The 19610-nt window shown below is 41.6% G+C and overlaps 1 protein-coding gene across 5 annotated transcripts in view; it reads left to right on the forward strand.

Moving 5' to 3' along the window:
* Positions 1–19610, forward strand: part of FBXL7 (F-box and leucine rich repeat protein 7) — a 439614-nt gene that overhangs the window by 289213 nt on the left and 130791 nt on the right. The window lies entirely within an intron of this gene.

Consider the following 19610-nt stretch of genomic DNA (forward strand, 5'->3'; position numbering starts at 1 on the left):
CCGTGTCTAACCTCAGGCTTTTTCCACCTGCACAGCCCACCTGCCCTTTGAGGCAACCCCATCCTCTTCTCCACCCCATGTCTGCTGAGCATAAAGGCAAAGCACAGACACAGGGCAGCGTTCAAGGCAGTCACCCACGACCACACAGGCTGGTGTTCAGGCTGTTTGTGCTCTGATTCCATCATTTGTGAACTCCTGACTCTACCTTGAGATCACAGCTTTGCACCCTCCTGTAGGCTTGCACTTTCCCCATCCTGCAAGGCTCTCCAGTTCTCTGTAGACCCCAGTGTAACCCACTCCTTTGGTTCCAATCTTCTTCCCATCACTTCAATTTGGAGCCAGTTCCCTGACTCTGTTCCTATGGCTGTGGCCAGCTCTGGGGCAGATAGTGTGGGAGGCAGAGTGGACCAGGGGTGCTGTAGGAAGATCATCACACCAGGCTATGAATTGCTTCCCTGGGCTGATGACTCACCTCTCAACGAAGGCCTTCTAAAGCACGATGCTTACAATAAAATGCGTGTGACCTGCCTGGGTGAATTAGTGAGGGGCAGATTCTGGACCTTGAATTTGCCCTGATGCTGCATAGGCCCCCGTGGCCAGATCTTCCAACACTGCTTGTTCCTATTTAGTTTACCTTCCACTAAAACCTCCAAAATCATTTCCACACTGATGCTAAATTATAATTCTCCCCAAACTCATGAAGCTAGGTATTTTTAAGTATACAACCTGATTTCAAAATTTAACCCTACTAAATTTTATGTTGTTACAGTCAATCTATCCTTGCAGTAAGCTGAGATTGCTGTACATGATTTTTAAAGAAAATACTAGAGTCTATCTAGTTATAAGGATGCTGGTGTCTCTTAGGTAGATGGAAGCTTTCCTCTGAGCACAGAATCTGGAGTCTGACCACCTGGAGTTCAGTGATGCTTCCTCCGCTTTGCTTGTCTGATGTTGGTCCCTTGTTCAACCTCTTTGTGACTCAGTTTTGCAACTGTAAAATTAGAGAGTAGAGTTGTCGTGAGCTTTAACGAGGTAACCCAGGTAAAGAGCTTAGTGAAGTGCCTGGCGAATTCTTCCTGCTAAGTAAATGTGAGCCATTATTCTGACCACCATTTATTATTAAAGCCACCCATGCCAGCATTTTTCTCAGCAAATCATTTTGTCAGAGGACTGCGAACCTAGTCATTGGCCAAATATTAGGTGCTAAAGAAAACTTCCTGTTATGAAGATTCCTCTTTCTCTTACAAATATAGTACATCCTTTTAAAAACAATGTAGTTGAGAATCTGTAATGCACCTGATGTTTAGAGCAGCTTCCCTGACATTTATTCACTGAACCCAGGTGGAATGATGGGCATCGGTCTTGTCTTTAAGACACAAAAGTCAGGAAATGGGGACACAGAAGGGAAACACTGCATTTTCCAAATGTGAGTCATGGACTCAAGATGTTAATGAGCTTTCTATGAGAATGGTTCTCTGAAGACATCTGCCTGGAAGATAAGATTAAATAAAATTAAACAGGCTTGTAGTCAAGCTTCTTAAAGTCCTTTTGGTCATGGGAAGTCCGTGAGTACCAGTGCCCTTCTGAATGGGGTGGCCTGGTAGGGTAGACAGAGTATGGGCTGTGTAGCCAGGTACACCTGTTCTAGCCTCCTTGCTAGGTCAGTGAGTTGTGTAAAAGGGGGGGGGGGGTTATTGCATGTATCTAAGCCTTATTGTACTCCACCCTAAATTGGGTATAATACCTGCTTTGCAAGATTCTCCTGTGGATTACAGAGGACTTATGTTAAACCTGAGCACAGTGTCAAGCTCTTACTTAGTAGGTATTCTATACATGGTAGGTAAACTTAGTATTCTAAACTGCAATCAGGATCTCAAATAAACCTATGACAGAACCTAACACGTTTAATTCTGTGGTTCTTTGTTTCAAACTTTCTGTTGTCTTAATGCATTATCTTCTCTCCCTGAAGAACTTGGTTTTGATAACTCAAATAAAAACTGTTTCATGTCCACTGTACGGCAGCTACATGGGGTGTATGTGTAATCATGTATCCAAGAAGGAAATATTACATATTTCATGCTTCGGGTGCCACCTAGGGTCCAGAAATGATGGGCATGTATAGAACATTTAAACAGGGTAATTGGGAAGAGTTTACCAGGGACTTTTACAAAGTTGAAGACAGAGTTAAGAAGGACCCTAAAAGAGATGGGAAGTTCCCTGGTGGGTAGCTCCTGGGCCTGACAGGACAAAAGGAGAGATACTCCTGGGGCACTAGCCAGAACTGGGAGAGGGCGGTCACTGTCTGGGGAGAAGACTTTGTGTGGCAGAGGAATGGCTGACTTGGGAGATGCTGGATAGTAAATACCCTGACTTCTCTCTTCTCCTTCCCAGCCTGTTTCTGCTGGGCTGCCCGTTACTCAGTTCCAAATAGGAGCCAGAGAGCAAAGGAGCCTTAGTAGTATATATTAATGTAGCCCTTAGAGATCTGGCTGCTGGGCTCCAAACAGGGTACAGAAGGTTCCAAAGTGGGTCTGCTGGTGGAACAATCGCAGAAGCTGATTCCCAAGAGTGTCCCGTGAAAAACATCCATTTAATACCCACATTGCAAGCACAACAAGTATTTTTGTTTAATCCTTAAGGAGTGAATCACTGTGTCATCTTGGAGCTTTACCAATAGCAAACCACTGTGATGTTATGATAATGACCAGAGCCCACTCAATTTTATATATTCCTAAAGGCAGGAAAAATAACAGGGAAATGGTATTATAATGCACCTGACATCGTAGCTGTCAAGCATTGTGTGTTAAAGCAAACTCTTCTGGACCTCATGATTAAATGATGCCATGGAGTATCTTCCCAGGGGTTTAAGAGGAAGCAGAAACGAGGGTATTTTCACATTACTTGTCCTTTCTGTTTGATTCACCATGGATTCATTGTGAACCCAGTTAGTCATGTGCTGGTGGATAACCCAGCAAGATGTATTCCTCCTCATTCCAGCCCATCCTTTCAAAGGTAAGACTGTGCCATTTACATCCATAATGCATCCTGGAAAACGTTTGAAAGCTCAATGTCTGAACGTCAAGCAGTTGATTTTGTATTAATTCATGTGGGGTGAGGGAAGGCAGTATTTTCATTCCCCGGGATTTAAACAGTGTGATGAAATACCTAAAAGCAGTGATGTTGGAGTTACCTTTCAGGAAGGTAAAGACTTTGACAGGGTTCCAATGAGACCTGGACAGAAGGCGTCCGGCTTTCTCCAGGGGTCTGGAAAACTGACTCAAGGACCCTGCTTTGTTCATGCTCTACAGCACCACCTCCCTATCATCAACTCAGCTACAGGACCATCTGGATGGATCCATGAGACTGTCCTTGGTGCCTGCAGAGAAGCAGTGGAGGGATGAGGCCCCCTCTCCTGCCACAGTAGCATAGACCAAGTGTCCCTTAGCTGACAGTACCTTGATGCTCACACCAGTGGGGTTCCCAACCCTATAGTCCATCTTCTGCGGCACCTGTAGTCTAGCTGGATGACAAAAGGGAAGAATCGAGGAGAGGGGGAGTCAGACCAGGAACTGTCATGGGGGAAGGGGAAGATTAGGTAGGAGAAAGTCTACTTCCAAGCCAGCCAACCTTCAACCTTCCTGCGTGTGCAAGCTGCATGCCTCTGGGGACAGGGAAGGGAGGGGAGCTGCAGTGCCTTCTGCAGCTGGCAGATGGAGGAGCCTTCCCCTGGTGCAGTGCGGTGCCACCATGTTGTAGCTGGAAGTCCTGGATCCCCAAGTGAGGAAGTGTCTTCCTCTCCTAGGGCCGCTGTACCAAATACTGCAAATGTGGTGCCTTGAAACAACAGAAGTTTATTCTTTCATGGTTCTGGAGGCCAGAAGTCTGAAATCAGGTGTCAGCAGGGCTGTACTCCCTTGGAAGGGTCTGGGGAGACTCCCTCGCATCTCCCAGATTCTGGGGACTGCAGGAGTTCCTGGCTGGAAACTTCAAGGCTCCTATCATTGCCTTGTCTCACACACTTTCTCCTCCATGTCTGTCCTCTGATGTCTCTTATAAGGATACTTATTATTGGATTTGGGGCCCATTTGGATAATCTAGATGATCGTATTCCAAGATCATCATTTTAATTATATCTGCAAAAAACGTTTTCCAAATAAGGTGACGTTGCTAGGTTCAAGAGGTTAGAACATGAACATATCTTTATGGAGGCAACCCACTGTGGGTAGGAACACAAAAGCCCTGGGTGCAAAGGTGTTTTAGGAGTTTAGTGCACTGTATAGTAACTTAAGTTCAGACCTGCCTAGACTGATTTCTTATGATAATAATTTGTTCATTTATTCAACAAATACTTGAGTGCCTCTTAAGCCAGATTCTAACAGACACTGGGTATAGAACAGTGAAGAAGATGAATTTGATATCTGCCCTGATTGTGGCAGAGTTAGAGTTTCTGCAGTGTGTTGTCTTACATAAAAACACAGCAACAACACAACTACAGCATGAAACTTTAACGACTTTAAATCCCTAGCCATGTGCGCCTCTCCCATGTTATCCTGCCCACACTATGCACACACTTCATCCTGTTTTCACTTCAGTGGCAACGCATTTTTGGAAACAAAGTTCTCTCGTGCCTGTGACTGCCAAAACCTGTTCTCATCCAGATAAATCAGTCACTAGGTTTATGATGCCATCTCGTTTAAGCATATTTGCATCTTAGCAAGGAGCCACAGCAAGGGGATAAGCATTCTCTTCTCCTATGGAGTGTAACACAAATGTTATCTCTGTTGGCTAAAAGCGGAATAGACAGTCTACTTGTACTCCAGAATGCCTTTCTGTACATTTGCACCAGTTCCATAGAAAGTTTTTAACACTCAGACTGTTTCCATAGTATTTTACATTGTTAATCATTTAATCAACTGCAGTGACATCTCCTGGCTGAGATGAGAGATTACTGGTAGACATTTTTTAAGGGAATAGAAAATTACAACAATGTTAAAGAAATAAAAGAAATTATGTTTGCCAAATGTTTTTGTTTTAAGGCCATCAGCATTTTATAGGCTCCTATTCTAAGTACCCCTAAGTTCAGAACAACAAATGACTGAAATTTTAAAAGGTTAGAATTAATAGTATCTCCCTTGACTTAAGATGAGTAAATAAAACAGGAAGACGTGTTTTAAAATTGGCAAACTCTTGTGGGAAATACTGCCAGAGCCTTATAAATGGGGTAGTGAAGGTTTTTTGCTCACAGATTCTGGGGCTTTCTCTTATCTTTGAGCGTGAGTTGGGTGAGCAGCTTTGTGAACAGTATCTTTCATTTTATCTTAACAACTTTGGGATACAAGGCTAACCAGTGATCACACAATTGTATGCTGACGTTAGTCTCCTCTGTTCCTGCCTTACAACAAAAAAGCTATTGTTTGCAACCTAATAATAATGTAAGAGGGGAGAGGCGAAAAAAACAACACAAAAGGTTTTTCCTCTATAGTTAGAAATTTGGTTTCAATACAGGCCAGAGAGCAAGCAGGGTGCATTTCCTGTGGGAAATACTTTTCAACTGTTTTGTTTTGTTTTGTTTTAGCTTTATTGCTTAGTGTGATGCCTTAGCATGAACTGCTTATGAAACTTTTAAAGATATGTTAAGATTCAGGCAGGTGGACAACAAGCTCAGCCAGAGGCAGCCTTCTGTGTGATTCTGCATCTCCTCTTTGCTGGCTACACCCTATGTCCAGTCTGGTTTCTGTTTGTATGTTTTGTTTTTCTATAGCCTTCTCTTCCTCCAGACATCCCTCAAAAGCAATTCAGGGGGAGAGAATTCATGGCTCTTACTTGAGAGAATAGAAGACCTCTGAGAAATGATGGTGGTTAGGGCTGGGAGAGGAAGTAATAGGTATTTACACTCACAGAACTAGCAAGATGTTTTCCGTATATCATCATTTGACTAGATTTTTTCTAAATGTATGATTGTTTGCAGTTCAGAACAATATAGCTAAAAGTGGATTCATTTGTTCACACTGGCATTTTAAATGTGTGTCAATTCTGGAAGCCTAATGTAATTGTCAGAAGCTGATGCAGTTTCTAGGTAGGAATTCTAAAAAAGGTATGCCTACCGGCCAGATATTGCAGTTGTCATCTATGTACCTTTTTAATGAGGTAAACTTGCAAATTTATGTCTTATAGCATGACTAATTGGAGAGAAAAAAGCCTTCTTTAAGGACTCAGTCACAGAGTTATCTGCCAACTAATGATGTGTCTGATCATTAAAATCAGCTTATGGATTTTGTTCATGGGTTTTTCAGGAAGCAAGTATGGATGCCACATTGTTCTTTAGATGGGGAGGTGGGACAAAATAGGGGAGAAGGTAATATGTTTATTTCAATTTGGAAGGAAATAAGCACACACCTTACATATGTTTGCCTATTCAGAGATCCACTATACCTGAGCATCTCATTGATTTCAGAGGCACACTCATCCGATTGCCACTATAAATATAACAGATCAAGAGAAAAGGGAGCTACATCTTAAAACTGGGAATAATAGTGGTCCAAAAACTGTCAAATTTCTTATTCTTAAATGTTTTCCTAATAACCCATAATCTATTTTGTCCTATATATTTCAGTGCTATATATTCTCCCTTGAATTGATTGCCTGCAGAGTAAATTGTTAAATTGTGAATAAATCTTGAGATGTAATAGGATTCTCAGAATCAACTTTGAAAATTTCAGAATGGTTTTCTGCCATAGAAACCAACAATGCCTTGTTAGCTAAGGAAAAATAAACCAGATCTTTTTCTATGAATTATAACGATGATAAGAGCACAATTTCCAATAAATAGCCAACAGGAAAGACCCATTGGACTCAGCCCAAAGGGCAGGTGAGTCCTCTAACATTAGAGGGTGGAAAACTGCAGCCCTCGGGCCAAATCTGTCCTTTCCCTACTTTTATAAATAAAATGTTATTGGAACATAGCCATGCCATTTGTTTATACATCATCTATGGCTGCTTCTGCACTATGATGGCAGAGTTGAATAGTTGCAACAGAGACCATTTGGCCTGCAAAGCCTAAAATATTTACCACCCATCTTGTTACAGAAAAAAAAAAAATTGCCAAGCCTTGTTCAACAATTTTATCTCTGTTTAGAATTGGCATCAGTTCCTGATCCAAACTTCCAAAATGAAAGTAAAATCCTGGGTACAGACACAGGTAATTGCAGGAGAGAAAAACGTCAAAGCAGTCAGGTTTTATACCCTGCCGTGACATCCATTTCTCATATGCTTTACAAGTGAGAGAAGCATCCAGAGCTTACAGCACCTCAGCAGGGAGTATTTTCCCTCTCTTTGGCACCATCCAGGGCTCACCGGGATCCATTGTGTGAGGCCAATAAGGATTACAGAATTCCTTCCACAACCTGAGGTATTGATTAGGTTGGCCAAGTCAATGCTAAAATTAGGCACAGACTAGGAGGCACGGAATGGATTTTAGAACGTGCGTGATGAGATCCAGAGCTACTCAGTGGGAGATTCAGAGAAGCACTGCAGAATGGGTGCTTTACTGTAACTGAGTTTTATTTTTACATACATACAAGTGGTAGTTGAAGGGACTGCACATTTACCATAATTCTCATAAACCAGTATATATTTTTGCTGGCTTTAAAAAATACCAATTATTTGTAGATAGTCTGAACGACAAAGTAAGTTTCAAAAAAATGTGACATAGCTGAGTGACCATCTTGGCTCTTGCTATGTGTATAGCTTTGAAAGTGATTCAGTTTTGCCTTGTTGGTTAATCTCCTTGCTGTGAAAACAGAGGTTGGGCACAGCATACAAGACTAGGGTGACCAATAAAATAGGTCATCAAGTCCCAACATGCTTAACTATGAAAGTACCACTAGAACTAATTAAACCAGGTCAACAGCTGTAATGTAGGACCCTCCCAGAGGAACGTGATATGTGGTCTCTCTATATAAACATGTGACACCTGTTTCTGCCTGTGGTTTGAAAGTGCTTGGCTTCAGAACTGGGCTAGAACATACAGAACCTTTGTGAGAATAGGAAGAAGGTACTGCTTTCTGAGACCAGTTAGCAATAGGATCTCCCATCTTCTGGGCTGATGCTCTCTTGTTCCATAGGACGTAGCTCACAGAGTGGTAGAATGAATCTCAATTCCCCAATTGGGCCCCCTGGCCAAATGTCTGGCAGGGCACAACCATATGTGGCTGTTCAGCTTGGCACCACACAATGGTAATGGCATTGAAAATAGGTTTGTGGGAATGTATGTTGCTCAAAATATGCAGCATTTTAACCTTGATCTAAAATCAGTATTCTTTGAATGGTTACATGTTGGATAGTTGGAAATGACTAGATTTTAATAAAAACAAATTAAGACAGATTTCAGTAATAGCCTACAATTTAGACGAGAAATTTGTGACGTCTGTGTTTTTAAAAATATACGTTTATGCTCCTGAAAGAAATTATATGTTCTGAAAACTTGAAGTCATCTCAGTCATAGGAAATATTGGCTTTTAGATTTGCCCAGACCTTTCAGGGGAAAGTAATTTGGATTTTTTTCCACTTAATTTTCCAGATAATTGCTGTGGTTCCTCCCTATTTCTCCATTAATATAGCCCAGATGACAGAAGAGAGGTAGCAAAGAAAAATGTGAACGTGGAGAGGGAGGAATAACACAAAATGGCCATCATATTAAGAGCATTGGTGCCATTTCACATAGTTCTTCCGACCACAGCTGTAGCAAACCACTCAGTCTGCTATTGTTCTTCATGTTCCTGGCAGACTCTACACTTTCTATTTGGAAAGACTGATCAGCAAACATATCTGTCTTGAAGCACACAGACACCCACAGGCTTGCCAGGCCCCTCCACCGCTCTGCTGACCTGAGACTCTCCTCTTCCCTTTGCTCAAGGATGTTGGAAAAGCAAATAAAAGCCACTTATACACTCTACTCTATGCATTTCTTTTCCTCCAGTTTCCCCTTTTCTTTGGATTAATTTAACTTCTGCTTATGAATCTGATAGTTCTTCCACATCGTTCTGAATTTCCTTCAGCACTGAAGAATTAACATTTTTAAAATTAAGTAACATTTTCCCAAAAAATGGAGCAGAAATAATTTATGTTTATATTTGTGCATGTAAAAGAAGTCTGTAGGATGCACAAAATTAATAAGAGAGGTGAACTTGGAAGGCGTTTGCTGATCAGACAAGAGATGGAATTGGAAGAAGACTTCTCACTATGTATCTTGTTTTTTCATTTATGATCTATATGAATATGTTACCTATTCAAGAAAATTAAAACTTTTTAAAAATCAAAACACAGGCAAAAAGACAACAGTGACCTGAACAAATGCTTCATCAGCCTTCTCTCCCATAGTAGAACCTTGAAGGTCCAGCAGATATCCACATTTCTGAGAGAATGTGGTCGTCATTATATCAGAAGTTCTAGATTCATTTTTTTTCTAACTTTGGTCAGCCTTGAGGAAGATGAAATTCCCTGTTTGCAAATGAGGATTCTGACTTAGACTAAAAATGCAGTGCAATGATATCCAGGCAGTTGGCAGTACCACGTGGTGCATTGACACAGCCCCCTTTGCAGGAGTTGATTGCAAATAATCACACATTTTTCTATGTACTGACAACCAAGAAATAAGTTGTAAATGGGTGGCAGGTGCTCAGCACTGACCAGGCAATTGAATACAAGAGTGAACAAGAGTTTTATTCTGCTGAGTGGAGCTCTCAGTGTAATTGAGGAAACAGTAATCTAAATGCACAATGTCCATGCACTGTCACAAGTAAAATGCATGTTGCAATACAAGACAGCTGACTCTAGAGTTCTGTGGATAGACAGAAGGAGCGACTGACCTCCTTTGAGACAGATAGAGGAAGAATGCATGTCTGCATCTCATTCCCATTGGAACAGCTGTAAAAGATCTTTTAGGTGCCTGCCCTAAACCCCTCCCTTTTTTTTTTTTTTTTTTTTTTGAGACAGAGTTTCACATTTGTTCCCCAGGCTTGAGTACAGTGGTGCGATGTCAGCTCACCTCAACCTCCGCCTCCTGGATTCAAGTGATTCTCCCTACCTCAGCCTCCCGAGTAGCTGGGATTACAGGCATGCGCCACCATGCCTGGCTAATTTTGTATTTTTAGTAGAGACGGGGTTTGTCCACATTGGTCAGGCTGGTCTCGAACTCCCAACCTCAGGTGATCCACCAGCCTCGGCCTCCCGAAGTGCTAGGATTACAGGCGTGAGCCACCACGCCCTGCCAAACCTCTTTCTAAAAAGGAAAAAAGGTCACAATGCTGAGGGTGTCTTAATTCAAAAGCTTGAGGAAAATTGTTCAGTACATCATCACAGAGCACTACACGGATTAGCAGCAAGTCCTCAGAAAGTCTGTTCCATCATCTGGCAAAATGTACTCTCTTGGGGTTTCATTGGTAGGTCATGAGAAAGTTGACCAGTTCCAACCAGGTCACAGTGTTTCTTCCCAACTATCACTCTCAGCAGTTGAAAATGTGTACTGTCATAAAGTGTTTTTTTTTATTTTGTTGTTTTAATTACTAAAATCACGGTCCAGCAATCTTACACAAGCTTCTTTTTGAAGCGGTCAGGAAACAGTGATTTTGGGAGGGGTTTTCTGCCTTGAAGTGAGCAAAAGAGGAAACATTTTAATAACAATATCTTATCCATTTTTGTAGATTCCTTGAAATCCAGGGAGGAGCACACAATGAAACAGAGACTATGTCAGTTGTGATGTAGGCATCATCATGCTGAATATTAAGAGTGGAAGTAGATTGATTTTGTCTGCTGCAGAATGATGGATATGAAAGCAGGTGTCTGGTGGGCAGCAGGAACTCATACCTCATCTCAATAGGCTTCACATCTGAAGGCTCATCTTGCTTCTCAGTTACATGATGAAGGGAGACACCATCCAAGCAGTAAAGATAGGAGCACAGCACTGCTGAAAGCAAGGCTACTCCTATCGCACGTTCTGTCTTCATAAATGAAGAACAGAAGAAGAGAAAATAATAAATTTCTATAGAATGACAGACAGGCCTAGGCTTAGGGAATTCATGAAACAAACAAACCAACTCTTCTCAAAATTGAGTGGGAGGAAAATGGTCACTAATGTTGATTGAACTCCTGCAAGCCAGGCACTTGATGTAAATTATTTCATTTAATCTTCAGAACAACCTAAAAAGGCAGGTATTTTATCTTTATTTTGTACGTGATAAAATGACAACTCAATAAGGTGAAACATATCACCATTGCCAGTGAGCAGTAAATGCTGAAAGTGGACAGAGGAGACCATATCTCAGCATATGGAGGTGCATATAGACCACTGGACTTGATGGAGGCATGTCCGGGGTGTTATCACAGAATTTTTGGGAGGCCATAAGGCTAGTTACCTCGGAAGTTCCTGCATCCAAACCTGAAGGTCAGACAGACCTTACTAGAAGGTGCACATAAACACAACTGTTTTGGGGAATGTGTCAGTCAGGATTCTCCAGAGAAACAGAAACAATACAGTTCTGCTTGTATTACACACATAACCAATAGGGTTCATGTGGAAGTTGTCAAGTCTAAAATCCATAGGGCAGGATAGCAGTTTGCAAAGTCAGGCAGGACCTGATGTTATGGTCTAAAGGCAGAATTTACTTTTCTCTGGGAAGCCTTAGCTTTTGCTCTTAGGATGTTCAACTGATTTTATTAGGCCTGCCTGTGTGATCAAGGGTAATCTCCTTTACAAAAGTCAACTGATTGTGTTTGTTAACCACATCTACAAAATACATTTGCAATAATACCTGGGTCCGTGTTTGATTAAATAACTGGATACTATAGGCTGGCCAAGCTGACACATAAGACTAATCATTATAAGGGATTCATTGGGGCATTGCCACTTAGTAGGATAAAGGACAATGGTAACTTACAGGTTAAGTCCATAGGGCTACTGTATTTAAAAGGATTACAAAGGGAGCCACATATATGGAGAACTTTTAATGGAAAGCTAATTGTAAATGATGTGTAATAAAAAAAGTCATTGGGTCAAAAGTGTAGCTTTCATTTTGACAAGAAAAGCCAAGATATGGCTTGTCTAGAAAAGTGTTAAAATTTTTCTGCAGTATAGGCTTTTATCAACTGATGCAAAATCCTTCATCTTGGTATCTGGTGAAATAAGAAAGCCAGAGTTTTGAAATATTCTCTTATGGCCTTATAGATATTCATTGAAGGGGGAGTCAGTGTGTGTGTGTGTGTGTGTGTGCGCGCGCGCGTGTGTGTGTGTTTGTGTGTGTGTGTGTGTTGCACATCAACGTGGGACAGGTTGGCCCTCTTACCTTTGGCTGTCTTCTCTGAAAGTGTCTTTCATTGTTTCTACTTAACACTGCTAAAGATTCTAACCCCAAATAGTCCACAATAATAATTTCATTCCATATTTCGGGGGGGGCGGGGTTAGTTTGTCAGCATGATTACTAGTACTCTACTGCATTTGATGAACTTTTTGAGAGATGTGTATCTATCTCCATTTCATCGATGAAATTCAAGAGATGTTAGGGACTTCAAGTTAACAGGGCATACTTAGTCTGATGGGGTATTGCTCACCTCAGTAGAACAAAGAAAGCCTTCAACATGAGAGAAGGCCCTACACTTCTGGTTAGGCATCCCCAATTCTCACCTTTTCCTCACACCTCCCATCCCGTTCATCAACAAGCCCACTTGGCTCTACCTCCAAAATCTATCTTGGATCTTAGTACTTCTCACTGTCTCCTCTGTGACAATCACGCTGAGAGACCATCATCCCTTCCCTCCTTTGGATCTTCCTCCCTCTATTTCTCCCCTAAACAATCCACTTTCCACCCAGTAGCCAGTGTGACCTTTGAGAAGCATGACCCAGATCATGTCAGGTCCCTGCTTAAAATTCAGTCAAATTAAGGTAATGTCCATGTTTCTCTGCATGGCCAAGTAGGGTCTGTATGACCACCCCCACCCCGCCCCACCGTCCCTCTGATTCCAGATGTCTACCCTTGTGTCTGTCATGTTTGTTCACTGCTAAACAGTGTCCAGCCATGTATCTCTCTCCTTTGACCATGCTAGCTTAGCCCCGCCTCAGGACAGTGGCACTGGCTCTTTTTTCTTGAACACTTTTTCTCCTCACTTGGCTGTCTCCTTTCCATCTCAGCTTAAATGTCATCTCCTTAAAGTGACTTCCTCCACCATCCCTGATAAACTAGCACTGCTCTCTCTCAGCACCACCACATCATCCTTTTTTTTTTTTTTAAAGACAGAGTCTCATGCTGTTGTCCAGGCTGGAGTACAGTAGCATGATCTTGGCTCACTGCAACCTCCGCCTCCCAGGTTCCAGTGATTCTCCTGGCTCAGCCTCCCAAGTAGCTGGGATTACAGGCGTGCACCACCATGCCTGGCTATTTTTGTATTTTTAGTAGACACAGGGTTTCACCATGTTGGCCAGGCTGGTTTCAAACTCCCAACCTCAGGTGATCCGCCTGCCTCAGCCTCCTGAAGTGCTGGGATTATAGGCGTGAGCCACGGCACCCGGCCCCACCACGTCATTCTTCACCAATTACCCTCTGTTGTTTTCTTTATCTGTTGACAAATTTCATGCTATTTATCATTCCTCTGGAGAAAATGAGACCCATGAGGACAGGCACCATCTAGTTATTTCCCATACCTTCAATGCTTTGATCTATATATAACCCATAGTAACAGTTGCTGAATATCTATGGACCACCTGATTTGGAAATCAGCTACAAAAAATGTAAGTATTTGACCAACATTTTGTTCCTAAATATAACATAAGTATAACCTTGACCCCCTAATCTTATAATACTTATCTATGGAACAATGAGTTTGAGTCATTGTTCGGTATCACCCATAATCAACCTTAGTTTACCCACATCACTCTGTCTTCTTCTTCAATATAACATTGTCTTCTACATGCATTTAAAAATCAAAAAGAAAAGTTTTAGGAAATGAGTAATTGAAGGGAGGTCACAGTTAATTTGCATGAATCCAAGCATAGATTATCTTGCTATCAATTTCGTATTGAATTTGGAGATTGAAATTACATATTATGCCAAATTAAATATTCTTTGTTACTCATATTTTCCCCTTTCTCCCCCCATCCTTCCTCTCATCTCCCTCTTTCATTCTCCCTCCCTTCTTTTCTTCCCTATCTCTCTTTCTCTCTGCATTCCTTCTAATGTTTTATAATGTGTCACATTTCATGCAACCCCCGATGTAAAAATTTATTAGATGACCTACCTAGCCTTTTCTCCAAAGGCTTGATTATTTTCTTTGGAAATAATTAGGGATGATAAATTTTGATAGCATCTTTTCCCCCTCCTCCTGTATTTGTTTGATATCTGCATTCACAAACTTGCCCCTTTACCAGGGCAAGGACTCTGTGCAAGTGAGGAAATCAGGCACTCCGGTAGATGTGTAGGGGGTCACATACCTGAGAACCACCATGTTTGAGGGACAGGCCCTGGCATTCCATGGCTGGCCATCAGAACACTCCATACAGGTCCTTTGTGTCATTCAAAGAAGAACCAGTCAACCACATCCATACAAGTGCTATTGCTCTTCTGCCTGAGCCCGACATCACAGGATTCTTACAACCACATACTGTTATTTATGACTGTCCCTTCTGACCCAAATATTAAAATAATTAATCTTACACCTTAATAGTATTTGTTAATTCCAGGATATTTTACATTTTGCAATATATTTTTTACTGCAGCATTCTTATTCTACTTCTCCACATTTAAAATAAGCCAGGCACAATGGCTAACACATATAATCCCAACACTTTGGGAGGCCCAAGAGGGAGGTTCTCTTGAGGCCAGGAGTTTGAGACCAGCCTGGACAACACAGAGAGACCCCATCTTTACAAAAAAATTTAAGAACTAGCCAGGCATGGTGGCATACAACTATAGTCCCAGCTACTCCAGAGGCCGAGGTGGGAGGATCCCTTGAGCCCAGGAGTCAGAGGCTGCAGTGAGCTCTGGTCATGCCACTGCAGTACAGTCTGGACAACAAAATGAGACCTTGTCTCTAAAATAAATAAATAAATAATGAATAAATAAAATGTTTACAGTTGACCATTATATTATTTATAGTTTTGAGATTCCCTAACAAAGTACCCCACACTAGGTAGCTTAAATCAGGGGTCCCCAACCCCTAGGCCGCAGACCAGTACCCATCCATGACCTGTTAGGAACCAAGCTGCACAGTAGGTGAGCACTGGTGAGGGAGCATTGTATCCTGAGCTCTGCCTCCTGTCAGATCAGTGGCAGCATTAGATTCTCACAGGAGTGAGAACCTGATTGTGAACTGCACATGTGAGGGATCTAGGTTGCGTATTTCTTATGAAAATCTAATGCCTGATGATCTGAGGTGGAACTGTTTCATCCCCAAACCATCCCCCTGCACCCTTCCGCCAAACCGTGGAAAAACTGCCTTCCACAAAACCAGCCCCTGGTGCCAAAAAGATTGGGGACCATTGGCTTAAATAACAGAAATATGTTTTCTCACAGTTCTGGGTGCCAGAGGGCCAAGATCAAGATGTCAGCAGGGCTGGCCTATTCTGAGAACTCTCTCTTTGGCTTGTAGATGGCCATCTTCTCCCTGTGTCTTCACCTCACCTGCTCTCTGTATGTGTCTATCATAACTGCCTTTTCTCATAAGGACACCAGTCACATTAGATCAGGGGCCACGCTAATGACTGCCTTAGAGATCATAACCTTACTTACCTCTTTAAAGACCCTATCTCCAATTACAGTCACATTCTGAGGTACTGGAAGTTGGGACTGCAGTGTATGAATTTTCTGGGAGCACAGTTCTGCCCACAACAGCTTTATAGAGACAGAATAGAGAAGGGTGTTGTGCTGGATTCCACAATATGACTTGCTCTCTGTAGGCCAGTGAGGAGGGATGTTACCTCTTTTATATCCTCAAATTTCACTCTTCCCAAATAGATATCCACACTCTTTAAATTGGGTTAACTGTGAATTTGGAGTTTATCTTAAAATATCATATTGAAACCTAACTTTCTAATTTTGTGGAGTTTTAATTTTTTTTATAGATTTAACCTAAGATTTTACCTAAGGGCCAGGTCAACACTGTGGATGCATATAATGATATCTAATTACAAAGTTCTTTGAAAAAACCTATTTTAGAAGTCTATAAAAACTTCCTTCTTATAACTAGTCCACACAGGGACCCAAAGGCCTTATTCAACCCCTAAGGTCACTGAATTTCAAGCCTAATAAGTTCCAGGAGAGAAGTAATCTATTCAGAAAAAAAGGGTATATTTAATCACCGGATTTTAAAAAGAAAGCTAAGTTCTTCATGATAACTTAAGTAGTTAATGGAATTTATTTAAGAATCTGTTTACAATAATAACTTCAGTGGATATAAAATAGATTTCTTCAATTTTACTAGTTTATTTTAACTTGCAGAATTCTTTGGGCATTGAAGTAGCTGAGAGGCTTATCTTCTTTTCTCAGGCTATGAATAAAGAGGAAGAAAAAAGTGAAGATTGATTTTTGTTGTATAGTCCTTTACATTTCTCAAATTTTAACCTACTTAAAAAACCTCATAATCACAGAATAAAATTTTACAAGTGATAGGGCTCTTTAAGATCATCTAATCCAACCCTATAATTTATGAAAGTAGTAAATAAGACTGAAGAAGGACAAAATGACTTAAACTACACATGGAACAATTTAACAGAAATATTTAAAACTTAACTCTTTTGTTACACTACTTCAGTATGCTTGTTTAGAGGTTATACAAGCCAGTTGTTTTTATTCTCTCAAGTAATTTAAAGACTGTCACTTGAGACTCATTTTATTTTAGTCAAAGTAGAAAAGTTAACTCCCCAAATGCTAGCACTTAGTGCATTAATTTGTGGATGATTCATCTCAAAATTACCTTCCCATGTATCTGCTGCAATTAACTTTGACAAGTGTAAAAACAAAAAAACAAAATAAATCTCTCCTATGGCCTGAAAAAAAAATAGTATCAATAACCTCAAAATAAATTATTGCTTTAAAATTGTTTGCAAAATTAAGGAGTCAGAAGTGTATGGGAAGGCATTTAAAGATTTTGAGTGGGGAGGTGACCTTAGGGCAACAGCATGGATTAATCTTCCACACTGGGGCACGGTGTAGAGTGTGGGTTTTCTGATAATTATCAGGTTGGGACAACAGGTATAAAACAGGGCTTTTCCCGTCCAACTTGGAGGTCATCCTGTTCTTTATGAAGGTTAACCCAGCAGAGGGCAGTGGGATAGACTGGCCCAATCAGGGACTGATGAATGCGCCACAGGAGACAGGGGGCCCACGTATAGCTAGAAGTACCTCTTCTCTAAGGAATGCGGCAGAAGCAGCCCAGAGTAAGGTGGACAGCTGAGCTCCGCCTTCTCCTCTCCCTCTGTGACTCGCTGTGACAGCTGCCCTGTTGTCAAATGTGCACTGTCCCTGTGGCTTCTTGCATTTCTGAAATCTATGGTACAATTGCATTTTTCTTTTCTTTTCTTTTCCTTTTTTTTGAGACGGAGTTTCGCTCTTGTTGCCCAGGCTGGAGTGCAAATGGCACAATCTCAGCTTACTGCAACCTCTGCCTCCCAGGTTCAAGCAATTCTCTTGCCTCAGCCTCCCAAGTAGCTGAGATTACAGAAGCACACCACCACGCCTGGCTAATATCTGTATTTTCATATTTCATCACGTTGGTCAGGCTGGTCTTGAACTCCAGACTTCAGGTGACCCACCCTCCTTGGCCTCCCAAAGTGCTGGGATTACAGGTGTGAGCCACCATGACTGGCCTGATTGCGTTTCTAAACAGTAAGTAAGATATTTTATAATGAGAAACAGTGACCCTTTCTACATGGTGAAATACACCATGCTGGTACTTGGAGTTAGGCAACCCTGCCTCTTAGAGATCCTCCACATGCCTCTTCTGACCCATTGTGCCGTGTGCACTGGGAAGGAGATGACCATGGGGAAGGAAGAACTGTGTTCTGGAAATCCCAGAGAGCTTGTGGAGAAGCCAGAAGCCATCCCCGCTGGCTGGAGAGATCATGCAGGGACAAAGCCCAGCACATGATAATGGTATGTAGGTCAGAGTATTAGAAATTGAGGTTTCTGGCAATACTAAATAGTCAGCACTCTTGATTAGAACTTAATTGCAAACTGTTTCTAATCAAATCCTCCCTAACTGCAGGTACTTTTGCCCCAACATTTGTTTGTTTGGGTTGTTTTTCTTTTCTTTTTTTTTTTACATTGCTGAGGAAGTTATTATACATTGAACATCCACATTCTCAAACATCATTTCCAGAAAGAGCTCTCGCTTACTTCTTCTAATCGCAAATTACACAGATTTCTAGCAGCAGGGCACCCCCAGAAGCAATTCAGTGTTGATATTTTTGCCAGTGGTTACAAGTAAGTAACACCTGAGTCTGAACAAATAAACATTACAATACAATCCACTCTAAATCTACAGGTTGTCCTGAGCTGAAAATCATGCGGCTTTTCTGAGATGGTAAAGTGAAGCTTGAGCTATGAGGCAGACAGGGCTCTGCCTGTCCACTGTCTTCCCCCGTGACCGTAGACCAGGATTTGGCAGTTGAGACAACACTGCCTTTCCAGGTCTGTCAGCAGCAGGGGGCACATCTGTGCGGGAAATTACTCACATGCTCCTGAGGCCTGGCTAATTTATGATTTTTTTTTCTTCCAAATAAGCTGAAATATGTATGTGGCAGTGATCTAACCCACTCAACCCATTGTTGAGACAGCAATGGGCATTTTTCAGATTTCCTTCATTGTCTTTCTCAGTGTCGTATCAAATTCCACAGATCTCTTGTAGGTCAAATTTTTTTTTACATTAATTTGCCTTCATATTTAAGTGGAGTAAGAAGGGCTTCTGAAAAAAATTCATATATAAAACCATATATTTCCAGTTGTAAATCCTTCCATATCTAGCCATGGACTTGCGATAGCCAATGAGGGTTTCTTCCCAGAACCTCTTCCACACACTCAGCCTGGACTTACCCCGTTCTCATCTTCAGGCGACACCATGGGCATGACTGTGTATTTCCCACTGTGTATCCTGATAACAAGTTTTTGAGTACCTAGTAGAGTAAAAGACAGTGACTTCTGTCCCTTTCTCTTCCCCTAGCCAGAACCAAACACATAAAGATCACATTATAGCTTCATAAAGTATAAAGAGATTTATCCCAAGTGGCTAGTTTCCAGTGGTGACCTCCTTCTTTTGAGTTTCCCTTTCAAGAAAGCATGGACTCTGCACACAGGCAGTGGCTTGCACACTGCTAGACTGCCAGTGCTTGCACAGTTCCTGACACACAGCAGGGACTCGGGGTGTGCAATCTAAATATAGCAGGACTCGTGAGTTCATGTAGGCCTGTTCTTTTTTGTACATAGCTGTCCTTCAGGCCTCATATGGGCACCTTTTTAAAAGTCTGCTTGCACTAAATATATCATTTCGCCCATCCTGAATTTCTGAAGACAACTGACTATTATTTTTATCCAACAAACCATCCAAACCCCAGTCATTTTCCTTAAGTGCAA

Source organism: Homo sapiens, chromosome 5 (assembly GCF_000001405.40).
Source record: "Homo sapiens chromosome 5, GRCh38.p14 Primary Assembly".
Lineage (NCBI taxonomy): Eukaryota > Metazoa > Chordata > Mammalia > Primates > Hominidae > Homo > Homo sapiens.